The sequence below is a fragment of the Homo sapiens genome, chromosome 1, assembly GCF_000001405.40.
Source record: "Homo sapiens chromosome 1, GRCh38.p14 Primary Assembly".
Taxonomy (NCBI): domain Eukaryota; kingdom Metazoa; phylum Chordata; class Mammalia; order Primates; family Hominidae; genus Homo; species Homo sapiens.
In genome coordinates, this window is record NC_000001.11 from 209422258 (window position 1) to 209436702 (window position 14445).

The window sequence follows — 14445 nt, forward strand, 5'->3', positions numbered from 1 at the left end:
CTGAAGATCTAGGTTTCGAATTGCTTTGTCTAAGGGTTGCAGGTATGAGAAGAGAGGCCCAAACTTGGTTTGTTTCCCCTCCAGCAGCTTACCAAGTGTTTGTTAGGAACCTTTCATATAAAAGTTTTGCAACTACCCAACTCTCCCCTTCTTCCTACCTCATCCATTTGGCCCACATAATCTCCCTTGTGTGACTATTAGGCAAGCCAGGCTGAAATACTCTGGCATTGTAATTAACTTGAAACTAGCTGCGTGCACACATGTGTGCATGTGCAAACACACACACACACCAGCTTTCCCTGGTACTGAGCTAAGCAGCCTGGTGGCCTCACAGTCTGCCTGCCTCTACAAGCTCAGTGGTCATTTTTTCCCCTTTAAAACTTGCCCCTCTCCTGCCAATCTTCCCTCTTTATTTAGCAAACTCTAACTGGTATCTCATGAAACATACAAAAAAACTTGGTGAAGCAGCCAACAGAGATTGCCAAACGTGATTACTTGCATAGATCCATCTTGCAAAGATGATGAAGAAGAGTTTGGCTTAGATTTTTTCCTCAGAGGCAGTGTGGGCTCCTTCAATCCCCTTTCCATCCTTCACTCCAGGCCCCCCAGGTGGTAAATCAGTATTTGCCCAGTGATCCAGAGTGGAGCTTGCATTTTTTAAAACTTTTACTTAGGAAGAAGTCAACCCTGCTCATTCCAACTCAGACCTACTATCCCAAAGAAGTCCCCACATCGAATTTGCTCCTTTCTCCAGTTGGCACATTTCCTCTAACATTTTATAGTTCAACTAGGTGTCACCTCCTCCATGAAGCTGTCCTGATCTATAGGGCTCCTCTCTATAGGGCTCCTCCTTATGGGCTCCTGCAGAGCCTCTCATGGGGCAGGGGGGATGACTATTGCACTTGCCCCTTCCTATTGCAGCACCTGTCACCTAGCTGCCTCCCTCCCCACACCCACTGGAAAATCTGGAAAGTGTTTGTGTTCAGGGGCAGGGACTTAGTTTTCTATTATCTCCAGCACCTGGTAGAATACCTGGCACATAATAAGCACTCAATAAATATTAGGTGAAGATGCAAATTAACAAACGCTACCTGTCTCTCTTCTGCAGTTGCCGCAGGCTGTAATTTTCCAAATTTTCCTAATCTAATTCCCCAAATCAAGACAGCCACGAGTTAAGGACTGAAGGTGCAAACTACCCCCAGTTCAGTGCTTCTGGATCTCCCTCTGGAGTGTTTAATAACATGAACTGTTTCGACTTATCAAAGCTTCTTCTATTAAGAATTCTCCCCCAACCAAACCCTCTGCTTTCCTAAGATGGTACTCGGATGTTAATTTAGAAAAATTAGAACCCAAACAAGCATTCTCAGTGGAGACAGAAGTCCCCTGATCCCAGAAGGCTTGCAGGCAAGTTGGAGAAATTGTTGTGGTGCTTTATAGGCGCTGATAAATGCGTGGAATGGCCAGAGTAGCAGAGCTAAAGACAAAATGACTGCTTTCAAGTGCTACAATGTCCCCTGGGCTCCCCTTTCTATCTTCAGCAGGGGGAGGAGAAAGGTAGGCCCTGGGGTTTTTTCCTCACTTGAAGGACTAGGTTAGGCCTGGGTGAGGGGGAGGTGTGGGGGTGGAAGGGGCCAGGGAGAGGGGAATGTAAACGGCAGGCTTCAACTTGCATCACTCTCTCTACACTCTCCAGAGAATAAGCCCATCTCAGAAAATGAAAATGAGGGGCCTCCAGCCCCACCCCAGAAATACAGCAGTGGGCAGTGAGCTGTCAGATCTATCAGATCCCCTAGAGTAAATAAACATCAAGGGATAGCTCCTGAAGATCTGAGACAGGTACTGATCCACATTGGCGTCTAGAGGAACCAGGAGAGTGAAGGGGAGGAGTATTAAACCCAGACCTCAAGTCTCCTCATCAACAGAGGCTCACATCTCCCATTCAGGCCTGTCTTCATCTTCACCCAGCCAACAAATGGTTTTTGAGCACCTATTACATGCTAGGTACTAGGAATATCGGGCTTTCTTTTCTTTTAAAAAGCTTACACTCTAGTAAAAGAGAAAAACAAAAACTCAGTAACTACAATACGATGTGCTACAGAGGTACGCACAGATCACACATGTTATGTGCAGGGTCGGGGTGTGGCTTCAGGAAACAGCCAATCTGCAGAGACCTGGCTAATGATGACCACACCAAACTCAACTTCTGGCTGGACAACACTTACACTGAGTGAATCAACGGAAGAAATGCAATGAAGTGGAAGCAGAGGTGCATTCAAGGTGGGAGGAAGGGGCCTGGGTTTGCTTTATGAACTTGGGTTTAGGCCTTTGGCCCCACTTGTTCAGATTGGTGTTCTGCACTACCTGGGTGTGTGCAAGGTCTGGGAGTAGGAGGTGATAAGCTGCCTGGTCCTTCCACTTACTCCTTGGGTGGAGATTTTGCCTCTTTCAGACTGTATTGACTCCAGAATCATCACAGTTTCTGCTGTTGTTGTTGCCTGCCTGTGTCCTCTGTGCTCACTTTTTTTTTTCTCCTTCAGGTTTGTATTGACCCCTCTTAAAATGTGGAGCCCACAAATCAATGTAATAACCAGGTATAATATGATCAGTGAAGAGTAGAGTAAAACTATTATCTCCCATCTCCTTTATTTTCTGTTTCATATTTCTAATGATGCAATCAAAGAAAGAATGTGCTCTTTTGGTAGCCATATCACACCACTGAGTCCCACGAAACTTACCATCAGCTCACATCCTAAGGTTTTTTTCTTCTTTTTGAGGTGGGGTCTTGCTCTGTCACCCAGGCTGGAGTACAGTGGTGCAATCTCAGCTCACTGCAACCTCTGCCTCCCGGGTTCAAGCAATTCTCTGCATCAGCCTTCTGAATAGCTGGGATTACAGGCACCCGCCACCACACCCGGCTAATTTTTTGTATTTTAAGTAGAGACGGGGTTTCACCATCTTGGTCAGACTGGTGTTGAACTCCTGACCTCTTGATCCACCCACCTGGACCTCCCAAAGTGCTGGGATTACAGGAGTGAACCACCACACCCGGCCGTTTTTTTTTTCTATTTATAAGTGCTGTCAAATCACATCTTCCCCCACTCTACATTTGTGTAGACCCTGACCAGTGGCTGAAAGAGTAGCATGCATACTTCCCAGTTCTGGATCCTAACCAAGAAATGTCTCAGGGAGAGGTCCTCCCAGCTCCTCAATACATGTAACAAAGCTGTAAACCTGGATCAGGAGAAGGCTGGTGATGAAGTTCCAGTCTACAGGCACCCCAAGGGCCATCCCCATTATGGTCATGGACCCTGATGTCCCCAGCAGCTTCCTGGGAACACACTGCTTCCCTACAACACACTGTCCTTACTGTTTCACCCCCAAGAGTCCAGTCCACTCCAAATGTTGTGCAGTGGAACCTAGGTAGCTTATCTTTTGGTGTTCTTCCCCTATAGAAATAACCGCGGTTGATTCAACAGACCTTTATTGAAGACCTCAGGCACAGTGCTAGGCATGGAGGGGAAGCTGCAAAGTTAGATGAGCTTATAAGCAGAATTTAGTCAGAGAGACCCATACCTAACTCTAATGCTAACCACGTGTTAAAACACTTTGGAGAATTTCAGGTCTTTTATCTTTTTCTTCAAAAACTGAAGATGTGGCAGTTAGTTTTGGGGCTGGAAATTTGAGCAGAGAGAATGGCAGAGTCTTTTCAGGAGCCAGAAATGCATGTGAGGACCAAGAACTTCTAACAGTAGAGGAACTCTGGCTGGGGTAGTTGAGGGGGAGGAGAAATGAGGATCAAGGGGGCATACAGTGCATGAAAACAAAAGGTGAGGCCCAAGATCAGCCAAAGTGAGTAAACCACGGTTACCATGGCTACTCTTCAGTGGAGACGGAAGGAAGCCCTGTATCCTCCCCTTCCAACCACACTACGCTGTTCCACTCCCCATCTCCATCTCCTGTACCCCAGACACACTCAGGCAAGCACAGCACCACCCTGGATGACTCTGCGGAATGCCTCTCAGAGACACGGAACTAGAAACCTAGGGGAAGAGGGACATCAAGGCTTTTGCCTCACAAGCTGACTCTGGAACAAAGAGCCAGGCTGAGGGGCTGGAAGAAGAAACTTCCAGCAGAGCCACCCAGATATGCTTCCCCCACCCTCTAGACCTTCCACACCAACCAGTGTCCAGTCAGTCCACAGAGCATCCTCCTGGGCTGTGGTGACTGAAGTTGAAGGGAAGAAAATATAATAATAATTTTGGGCAGGTCGTCTTTCTTTACTGTATTGGATGGATATAGAATCAATAAATCTATAGGTTTATCCCATTTTTCTGAACAAATTTAGAGGTCAAAGATGAACCCTCAAGGGGACAGAATATGACCAGCAGGACTATTGATATCGTCTGCCCTAGGCACTCCTCCTTACCCTCCTCTCCCCTATATTTTGGGGGCAGTCATATTCCTCAGCAGTCAGTTGCTCTGCCTCCAGTCCTAACTGGCTTCTGAAAAACAGTTCTGGTCCATTCATTCCCTGTCTCGAGACTTCCGGAGCTTCCTGACCTGTGAATGAAATCCACAGGCCCATCACAAGATGGCTGCGCTCTCCAGTCCCCGGCACCCCAGGCTGCTCTGAACATGTGAGAGCTCCTCCCTCAAGGCCTGAATTTTCGCAGGTCTTCATCACACTCAGCCCGCCATCATTTTTTCAGATTCAGTTCCAATATGTCACTCTGTCTGTAGAGCCTTCCCTGAATCTCACAGACAAATGCGGCAGTTCCCTTTGTGGGGGATATTCATCATGTTTTTCCTCATTGGCCTATGTTTTTGCCTCTTCTTGTAGATGTCCATCTAGGCTGGGAGCTCCTAGGGGGTAAACGCAGCCTCTCACTCACCTGGCACAGAGTCGATGCTCATGGAATGATACGTGATGGGGAGAGTGAGTAAGTGAATGAATGAATGAATGCTATTCTGGAAGGAAGAGGGAGAGAGGGAGCAGGGAAAGGTCAGAAGGGGGCCCAGAGTCTTCAGCACACAATGTGGGTGTATCACTGTGGCCAGGAACAATTCGCTTCTCTGCCTGCATTACTTTTTGGGAAATGGGAGAGCTGAGGCTCAGTGTAGGCAAACTGGGTCCAGTCAGCAGGGAAGCCATGAGCTCCACGGTTTAGGGGAGGAGTCCGGTGCTTAAGGAAGCTATCACGTGGAAGATCTCCCTGCCCTCCTCCTATTGGTCTGTATTGGTTTTTCTTCTTCACCAGTGGAGGCTTTTCTTCTCCCAGGAAGAATCCAGAATAGTTCAGACAAGCTTCAGGTCCGCCAGAACCGGGGAAAACAACGTGTAGGGTTTGTTTTAAAGGGCTTTTAAATGGGGTTTGGGAGATCCAGGTAGATTAGAATCTTGACTCTGCACTGGCTGTGCAAGACAGAAATTCACCTTTCAAAACTTCTGTTCCCCAGTCTATGCGGTAAGAAGTTTAGATTAGCTGATTTCTAGGGAGATTTTGGGCAGGCATGATTCAGTTCCATGAAGGGCTGTGGGACAGGACTGCACTAAGAGGTCCTATAGATTGGATTCTTCAGTTCCCTCCCTTCCGCTGGAGAATAGAGGAATCTGCCTTCGCTGCACACTAGATTTACCTGGAGAACAAATGGAAAGCAGGCCAGGATCCTGGGTGAAATGTGGCACATTTGAGGAGACTTCAACTTCCCTTGCCCTCCAGGTGTGCACTTGGAAGGGGGAACGAGGGAGGGGGAAGCTGGCAAGATGGGCCGAGAGATAGGGGAGGGGCAGGAGGCGGAGCCCAAGTTGCGCATGGAAGCGGGGGTGGGGTAAAATAATCAAGTTTATAGACCGCCCTCTTTAAAGTTACTAATGAGCTTGCCTTCTCTTTCCTTAATTTCCCCTCGCAGTGTGGTCTTTTCCCCACCCCCAGACATGAAAGGGAAGCAGGTCACAAAGCCTTTCGGATTATAAAAGAAACACTTGCTTCTCACAAGGGGAGCAGCAGACTTACTCTGTACTAAATGCCAGGATAAGCCTCTGGCTGGGCCTCGACTGTGACCCTCCGGCCTCTTTCTACAGCTCTGCCTGGATGGACTGGCCTATCTCTGCTGGATTCCCGAAGTGCATTGTGTAGAGACAGCAACTCAGGTCAGGCTAAAAGCTCAAGCAAGCAAGCGCGCACACACACGCGCGCACACACACACACACACACACAAACACTCAGCTTCCTTAGGACAAGATAAAATCTTAGCATTCCCCTCTCCCCGATTAGGTAGGTCTCTGGGAGGACTAAGGCTTCAGGTGCAAGGCTCAGATAACCTGCAGTGTCTCTCCAACTCTGGGATGACAAAGACCTCACTTCCCTTTTCTGGTGTTCACACAACAATGAGAAAGTACGGGTAGCCTGCAGAAAGACCTCTCCATTCATGGTCCCCCAGGGGTGTGGGTTCTGAGAGGTGGGACCAGCTGCCAGGCCCTTTCTCCATTGGTTGAGTTCAGCAGGTAACCTGAAGCTTTGCTGAGAGGTGCATAAATAAAGAGTGAAACTAGTACCACCTCCTTGAAATGGGCTGAGTCCCTCTTGCTCACCCTTGACTTGGAAAAACCAGTTTCTCTTTTATTGTCTGTTACTAATCTCTATTCTAAAAATTCAGCTCAATTCTCAACCATACTCCAAACTCTCTCTTTTCCAGCTACCTTTACTCCCTCTCCTTCAATTCCACTTTCCTCTGCTTACTTTTTTTTTTTTTCTGACAGGGTCTCACTTTGTCGCCCGGGCAGGAGTGCAGTGGCTCAATCTTGGGCTCACTGCAGCCTCAACCTCCCAGGTTCAAGCGATTCTCCTGCCTCAGCCCCTCAAGTAGCTGGGACTACAAGCGCACACCACCACGCCTGACTAATTTTTTGTATTTTTTTGTAGAGGCGGGGTTTCACCATGTTGCCCAGACTGGTCTTGAACTCCTGAGCTTAAGCAATCCACCTGCCTCGGCCTCCCAAAGTGTTGGGATCACAGGCGTGAGCCACCGCATCCGGCCTCATGTTCTTTTTCATTAAAGAGAGAAATCAACTATTCAGGACCGGCCCCCACCTTTCCTCAGGAGTCATTTCTGTTCCGCACAGGCCTGCTGAACTGGGTGCTTTATATAGGGTAAGTGTTTCTCATTTTTTGTTCCCTGTCCTCAAGCCTTAGGGGCAAAAGAAACATCCAAGATTTGAAATTTCTTTTCTTCTTCTCATCTGCATGGCTGTAGCCATCTCTCTGTTCTGCATTATCTTATGACAAAAAAAAAAAATTCTTATTTTGAAGCAAACTCAAAGCTAGGTCCTGATGTCTCAAGGCACAGGTACTCGTACTTAAAGGTGAGTCTGAAATCTGTGGATTTGGGGAACTTTGGAAAAACAAAGATGAGTGGCTAGATCAGGGGGCTCATTGGGCAGGAAGAGGAGACTGGAAAATGCCATATTCACTGCAAGTCAATTATCAACTTCCTCCAAGGCTAAAATAGCTGAACCTGCTGCATTTTAAACCAATCCTCAGCCACTTTGGTGTTTTCTCAAGGATTTCCAGGGATCCCAGGCAGTAAATTCTGCTGATAATAGGAATTGGTGTGATAAGGTGGGTGCTGAGCAGTTTAAGCACCAAGATTGTAGCTCTGTCTGGTTTTGTGGAGATTTACTCAACTAGAAGAACAGAGATTTGGCTGGTTTTTCAGTCCTGGGGTGCAGGGTGCACCTGTACTGGAAAATTTAGGACGTGGTTTCATTCTTTGAGTCTCATGTTCAAGTTGGTTTTAATGTTATGAAGACACTTGGGACGTAATCCTGAGGGCAGCTGGGGGGAAGAAAGTGGTCACTGGATGGACTTACCCTGTAGCGAGCCCATGCATGGTTTGTTCTCTGATCGTGCATGTGCTTGGCTCTAGACCCATGTAACCATGGTGAAGGCCACTGGGGGATTCAGTTGGCAAAGGCATAGTGGGCAGAAGAATCTTGAACAAGGAGTCCAGAGCAGGTCAAGTCTCCTGATACAGGTTGTGACTCATGGTTTTTTGTCTCTGCCTGTAGCAGCTACAGGTCTGTAAAGCAAGGGGAGAGTGATAAGGAAAGAACTCACCTTTCTGGGGCTCTCTGACATTAATGCCACCTCCCATTTGCTTTTTGCAGACACTGTCATCTCTCAAGTACCCATCTTGGAGGGTACGGACCCCACATGAGGGTGAGGCTCTCTGCACACTCCAGAGTGAGGACTTTAATAATCTAGTGGACTGTACATGTTGGGAGGGGAAGAGCGGGGTGCCGAGGGTCTGGAGGGAGAAGAATTGACTGCCCCTTTTGCTCTTGGAGTTAAGCAGAAATCTAAAGAGAAGGCAAAGAATCTTGCCTTCCTGGCATCATTTCCTCCTACCATCCCAGGCCATCATTTATTTATTACAGCCAACAGACTGGCCTCTTTCTTCCCTTTGACTGGGAATGGGTCAAAGGCGGTGCAGGAGGAGGATCTGGTCCAGATAATTCACAAGCAGGGTGCATTTTCCTCTCATTATTGAGAACTGTGAGTGTTTATCAAGAAGGCAGAGCAGGAGAAGATGAACCAGTCTTCTTCCCCTCACTACCCAGATCTCTGCCTGCCAACAAGCCCCGTGTTCACCCTGGCAAAGAGTCTTTACATTCAGACCAAGGAGAGTGTGACTCCTTCTCAGCACTAGCTAGAAACCTCAAGCCCTTGCTTAAGGGCCTTTTTCAGAGAGACCCAATGCCCAGAAGGCTAGATGCGTGGGGAGGAGCCACATACGAGAAACTGCCTCCCTGCTTCGGGTCAGAACAAGCCCCAGGAAGAAAGTATTTCAAACAACAAGGTGCATCTGCCCCAACCCATCCAGCCTGCATGTTGGTGCTGAGAACAGCCTTTTATGGGGCTTGCACTGAGCCATGGGCATGTCTGAACACAACAAGGAAGAGGCCAGAGCAGCAACAGCACGCAAAGGGTTGATGGGCATTTCTTTTAAGACAGAGCAGAAAACTCTTAGATACTTTGCGTCCTTCCTATTTGACTCAGTCTATGAAAGCCAGGTTAGCTTGCTTTCTTCCTCCCTAAATCCTCCATCCTCATGACCAACAAAGAAATAGTTGAATCATTTTCCAGGCACATCTTGGGGAGGATGTGGGGCCATTGGAGGCTGTCCTTCCTAGATAAGTCTTTAGGAGTGAGAACAAGGAGTCTTACCCTCCTCTGTCCACCCACCCCCATGAATGGGCCTGGCTCCAGCCAGGAGTTGTGGTTTTTCCTGAGCTCCTCACCTATCTCTTCTGGATTTCACATTGGCAAACGGGGTTGCAAAGTGCTCTTCGTGCTCTTTGGACAGTGCCTTGTGGAGAGGAATGCCCATGCCCCTGCATTCCAAGGCCTTGGTAAGCAAGCTCAGAGTAGCTGGATTTTTCTAAAGCAATTGCAGAACACCTGCTTTTTCTTTGTTTCCTCTAGAAAGGACCAACCACACCGAGCTCAGTTATGGCACACACAGTGGGACCTAGACAAAGGGAGAGGGTGACCGACATCCCAACTAGGTAAACACAGAGGAGGTTCCACATGGACTTATCTGGGTGGCTGTTTTGAAAACGAGAAACAGTCAAGAGTCCCTGGCCCCACAGACCCACCTCCCCAACTCAGCACTGTCTGTCTGTGCAGCAGGTGCAAGGACGTGTTGAACTAGCTCTCTGCAGCCTCCTTGGAGGATGTGATCCTATGGGAGGGGTAGGAGTATTCAGGTCCTTGACATCTCCCAAATGTGTGATTCCGGGATGCCAAAGGCCTTTGGCCAGGTAATGCAGTGTCTACAGGCTGAGGTTGACATGCATCCCCACCCTCTGAGAAAAAGATCCTCAGACAATCCATGTGCTTCTCTTGTCCTTCATTCCACCGGAGTCTGTCTCATACCCAACCAGATTTCAGTGGAGTGAAGTTCAGGAGGCATGGAGCTGACAACCATGAGGCCTCGGCAGCCACCGCCACCACCGCCGCCGCCACCACCGTAGCAGCAGCAGCAGCAGCAGCAGCAGCAGCAGCAGCAGCAAGAGTAACTCTGACTTAGGAATAGAGACAGCCAGAGAGAAATGTGATCAATGAAGGAGACATCTGGAGTGTGCGTGCTTCTTCAGAGGGACGGGTGATGGGCAGATTGGAAAAAGCACCGCAGATGGGAACCTTAATCTTTCTTTTCTAAAATTGATGCTATGAAAATTTGCGTTTTCTGTAACTTGTAAAAACTAAAAGTTGCTTGTCTACTGAAAAGCCTCTCTGCCTCTATGTTTTATACCATCGGATGCCAACTCCCGGCCTTCTAAGCCACCTCCCCTTTAGGCTAAAACTGAGACATGAACTTGAAAAATTGACACTGGCTTCCTCTCTCTTTAGGGTCCCCAGGCAGGTGGCTGGGACACTATTTGCAATCAGCAAGGAACCCTGCTGCCCTTAGACTCCCCACAGAGCAAGCAGAACTTGCAGAATGGGGTAAAAACACTCTATTAAAGATTTTTTAAACCTATTTATATTGTAATAAAGTAAATGTAAATAAAATTTAAGTGAAGGCAGATTGCAGATATTTCCGATGCTATACAAGATATATCTCATAGTATGGGTGTAGATTCTGCAAAGGTTAATGCAGTTAAACATATTTGACACATAAAAATGTCAGATCCAACATTAATCATTCACCAATTGTAATTGCCTTTCTATGGGTCTCTTCTCCCCAAGACATAGCTTAAAACACCAGGCTCGGTAGAAATCTGGGAGGAAAAAAGCAAATAATACCTCTCAGCTGTCAGGGTCTATGATACGCTTTGATAGATTTAGCACTGATTTCATTCTCTTTACAATTCAGTGTGATTGGGTGTGCGTGTGTGTGTGTGTGTGTGTGTGTGTGTGTGTGTGTGTTACTCCATGTTTCTCCTTTTTAAGGAAGGAGAAGGTGTGGAACAAGAGAAAGTTCCTAAGTCTGAAGGAAGTCCAACCCAGTTATGAAGGGAATGCCATCCACAAGCCTTTTTTATAATTGGCCCCTGCCTCAGGTAAAGGGGTCTCCTTTAAGGAGCCAGTCTGGCTAAATTGGCAGATTCTGAACAAAGCCTGGCCCTGACAAGTCTTCAGAAAAACCGGTTTTCACCTCCAGAATGTGCCCCAGGCAGCAAAATACAATAGCTCTCCTTGGCTGAGTGGTGTTTTTCTTAGGAGCTCACTCTAAAGGAGATTCCAGCTTTGCAGATGGATACCGATCACTTGAATGGCCAAGCCCTGCCCCCCAGCCAGTGACCTCTGAGGGGGATAGGTCTCTTCACCTTCCCCCAACCCTTCCCTGGTTTTTGACCCCTGAGGGTCCCAGATTGCCAGCAGGAACTAAAAGGAATAAACCTTTCTCCAAAATATTTTTCTGTGTCAAGTTAATACAGATTTAAAACCTAGTTTCTGTCACCCCCACCCCTTCATTCCAAGACCCACAGGCAACAAAAGGATGAAGAAGCCAAGCCACAGGCATTTTTTAAAAACATGTTTACTCATAAAAATTGCGTAGCAAATCCAACTGTGGGGTGCTGTTTGTCCAGCAAACTCCTAGTTAACCAGCAAACACCTCCCATTCAAGGTCTGAAACAAGCCCTGAGATCAGAACAAAAAGCACACGACAGACACGATGTGGCACTTTTATTTGCAGCTTGGTTTGAGCCCTATGACCTGGAATCTTTTTATAGGAGATAAGTGCTTGTGTATTTATGTGCCACCTGGCCCAGGTGGAGGCAGGAACCAAAATGGCCAACAATGGTGACCAGAGGGTAGACTGTCAAACACTAGCCAGGGCACAATGCTGTGACTACAAAAGGTTCTACCTGATGTGCTGTTGGGTTCCCCCACACCCAAAGTCCCATGCAAATGCTATCTTCACAAGAGAGGCACAGGGCTTGGTATTTCTGGCACCAAGGTCTGAACTGCCCACTTCCTCCCACCAATGCAGCACAGATTGCTTATTCCCTCTTGCAGAAAAAGAAAGCCCCAAGCCTGGCCCAGAGCAGCTTGCCAGGGAAGCCAGTGTGTGCCCAGAGCTGGAGCAAGCTGCTCATCCATCTTCTATGTCCAACCCCCACTCTTTTATGTCTCATGTCTTCATTGCAAAGCATGACTCGCCAAAAACACAACACAGAGAAAATGGTTTCATCAAAATTCCCTTGCAACAACAACAACAACAAAATAATATTACCCTGCTTTCATTATTCACAATCTTTTATTGAGGCAAAAGGCAAATATCATTGAGCCAAACCTGGATAGACAAATATATACAACCACTGGTAATTTAATATTTTGTGCTAATGGTATACACTGTAGATACAACCCAAGAGGAGTAAATTACAATCCTATCAATAATATATCGCATCCGGGCTCCAGTTTCCCAGTACACGAGAAAATGTGTATTGGCAAAGGCTCTCCAAATATTAAAAGCCATGCATATAATGAGGCAGTGGGTACAGAAGCTAGAAACTCCCACAGGACTGTGCTGTGGTCTTTGTTATCAAGGCCCTTCGGGAGGAAATAGCCCACATCAAAGCTCCAAAACCTGATGCTAAATGCAGACATCCCATTCACATTCTCAGCCGATCTCTAGGTGAAACTTCAATCACAGAATAACCTATAATCAGGGCACCAGTTTGCAGACCGCTTGGAGCACTGCCCCAATTTGGACACCTCAGGTCTATGGTAGATGCCCAGGTTCTGCTGGGGTGACCTGTGGTGATGGACAAGGGACTCCAGAGAGTCCCAGTACAGCTGGCAATATCTGAGAGACCATGTGGCTTTGGAGCAGCCTCCCCAACTTGTATGTGATCCTCCAAAAGAAAAGTGGGAGGAAAAAAAGGCAAGTACTGATGACAGGCAAGGAGCCAACGAACTGCAAAGGGAGACAGATTTACTTTGAAATTTAAAATGCCCCACTTACTAAATTTTTGTCAGTGGATCCAAATTCCCTTACTCCCCACTGCAAGAGAAGCAAATGACAGTCTTACCTAAGAGCAGAGAGGAAATATTTCTACCACAGTAACACTAGTAATCTGGACAAATAAGGTTAATGTGGGCAAGAGGGCTAGTTAGTGCCACAGTCACATGCTGGTACTCCCTTGATTCAGGGGATATTTGAGGAAACTTACAAGGCAGAAGGGGCAGTCTCTTTCTTGTCTCTTTTTCACTCAGCCCCTGGAAGAAAAAGGAGAGGCCGAGGAGGGAAGGGAGGCTGTCAGGGTCTCTCAGGCAAAAGGAACAGGAGGCAGACAGCAGCCCCAACCTCAAGCTCAGAGATGAAAAGCCCTGGCCAGACACCAGTTCATTAGTGGAAATAAAAGCTTCCTAAATTGCAGGGAACTGGCTGGGCTTTCTGGAGAGACACCTACACATCAAAGAAAAATAATGTGAAAAATTCTCTTTGTCTGGGGACAAGAAGCAGCATCTGGGAGTCTCGTCATAGCCTCCCTCCCTCCTCCCCACAATCTCTCCACCATCCGCCTTCAAATCCTGGGAACCTTTTGGAGGGGTGAAGATGGCCATTTTTCCTGCTGCCTGTCAGATAGCAGGGACCGGTGGGACACCTGGTGGGCAGTGGGGGAAATACAGCCACATTGGACCTCAACGTCACTACCCAGGTCTAGAGAGACCTGTGTATTCTGAGATCATGGGAAAAAACAAGGAAGGCATCTTTCTAGGGGATGTGACATTGAAGTGGACTTTAAATGTAGTAGCAATTGACTTAAATTTCTGCTATTTTCAATTGTGTTTGGGAAGAGATGGGTGGCTCAGAATAAATATAAATAAATAGAATCCATAGATAAACAAATACACACTATAATGTTTAATGCAATTCCCACATTATTTAAACTTTACTTAAAGTCGCATTGAAAATAGACACTATCCCAGTGGACTCACCAAGCCAAACACCTGGAAGAAGTTCCCTGAAGATAATCCATAGACGAGAAACTCTCACCAAAGATAATGGAACATTGACTGCTCAAGGAGAATACTGAGGAATTTCTTATTTGCACCCAAGAGGTTGCCAAGAGCAGCCCAAAGCTTCTGAGTCAGCATGTGAAGTGGTTAAGAGGGGATCAAATTAGATCTGCTGCCAATTTGATATGGCTGTGGGACTTTGGGCCAGCCACTTAACCTCTCTAAGACCCAATTTCCTTATCTGTCAAATAGAAATAATGATAATAATAGCAAGTACTTACTAAGAGCCAGACACTGCATGCTTTGTGTATATTAAATCATTTAATGTCTCCAGCCATTTTAAGGTATGACTGATATTTCTGTTTTATGGAGGAGAGAGGGTAAGGGACCAGCCCAAGATCACATAGCCTGCGAGTGGCAAAGCTAAGATCCAACCTGGGCTCCCTGACTCTGGAGTTCACACTTGGAG

General features: G+C 47.1%; 1 long non-coding RNA gene and 1 other non-coding gene across 6 annotated transcripts, besides 4 other annotated features; both read left to right on the top strand.

Moving 5' to 3' along the window:
- Positions 5561-6484: an enhancer, noted in NCBI's record as "NANOG-H3K27ac-H3K4me1 hESC enhancer chr1:209601163-209602086 (GRCh37/hg19 assembly coordinates)". NCBI's record gives its function as "activates a minimal SCP1, AML or CMV promoter by ChIP-STARR-seq in naive H9 embryonic stem cells {active_cell/tissue: H9 hESC(naive)}" and the evidence as "EXISTENCE:reporter gene assay evidence [ECO:0000049][PMID:30033119]".
- MIR205HG (MIR205 host gene) lies at positions 6563-10292 on the top strand. Of its 5 annotated transcripts, NR_145434.1 has the most exons (5): positions 6563-6831; positions 6924-7151; positions 8168-8219; positions 9486-9568; positions 9947-10292. It is a non-coding gene; the product is annotated as an MIR205 host gene (long non-coding RNA). The 5 variants fall into 5 exon arrangements; NR_145437.1 differs by lacking the exon at positions 9486-9568; NR_145435.1 differs by lacking the exon at positions 8168-8219.
- On the top strand, positions 9876-9985 carry MIR205 (microRNA 205). The gene has a single exon (NR_029622.1). It is a non-coding gene; the product is annotated as a microRNA 205 (primary transcript).
- Positions 10717-11314: an enhancer, noted in NCBI's record as "OCT4-NANOG-H3K27ac hESC enhancer chr1:209606319-209606916 (GRCh37/hg19 assembly coordinates)". NCBI's record gives its function as "activates a minimal SCP1, AML or CMV promoter by ChIP-STARR-seq in naive and primed H9 embryonic stem cells {active_cell/tissue: H9 hESC(naive and primed)}" and the evidence as "EXISTENCE:reporter gene assay evidence [ECO:0000049][PMID:30033119]".
- Positions 11315-11914: an enhancer, noted in NCBI's record as "OCT4-NANOG-H3K27ac-H3K4me1 hESC enhancer chr1:209606917-209607516 (GRCh37/hg19 assembly coordinates)". NCBI's record gives its function as "activates a minimal SCP1, AML or CMV promoter by ChIP-STARR-seq in primed H9 embryonic stem cells {active_cell/tissue: H9 hESC(primed)}" and the evidence as "EXISTENCE:reporter gene assay evidence [ECO:0000049][PMID:30033119]".
- Positions 12513-13110: an enhancer, noted in NCBI's record as "H3K27ac-H3K4me1 hESC enhancer chr1:209608115-209608712 (GRCh37/hg19 assembly coordinates)". NCBI's record gives its function as "activates a minimal SCP1, AML or CMV promoter by ChIP-STARR-seq in primed H9 embryonic stem cells {active_cell/tissue: H9 hESC(primed)}" and the evidence as "EXISTENCE:reporter gene assay evidence [ECO:0000049][PMID:30033119]".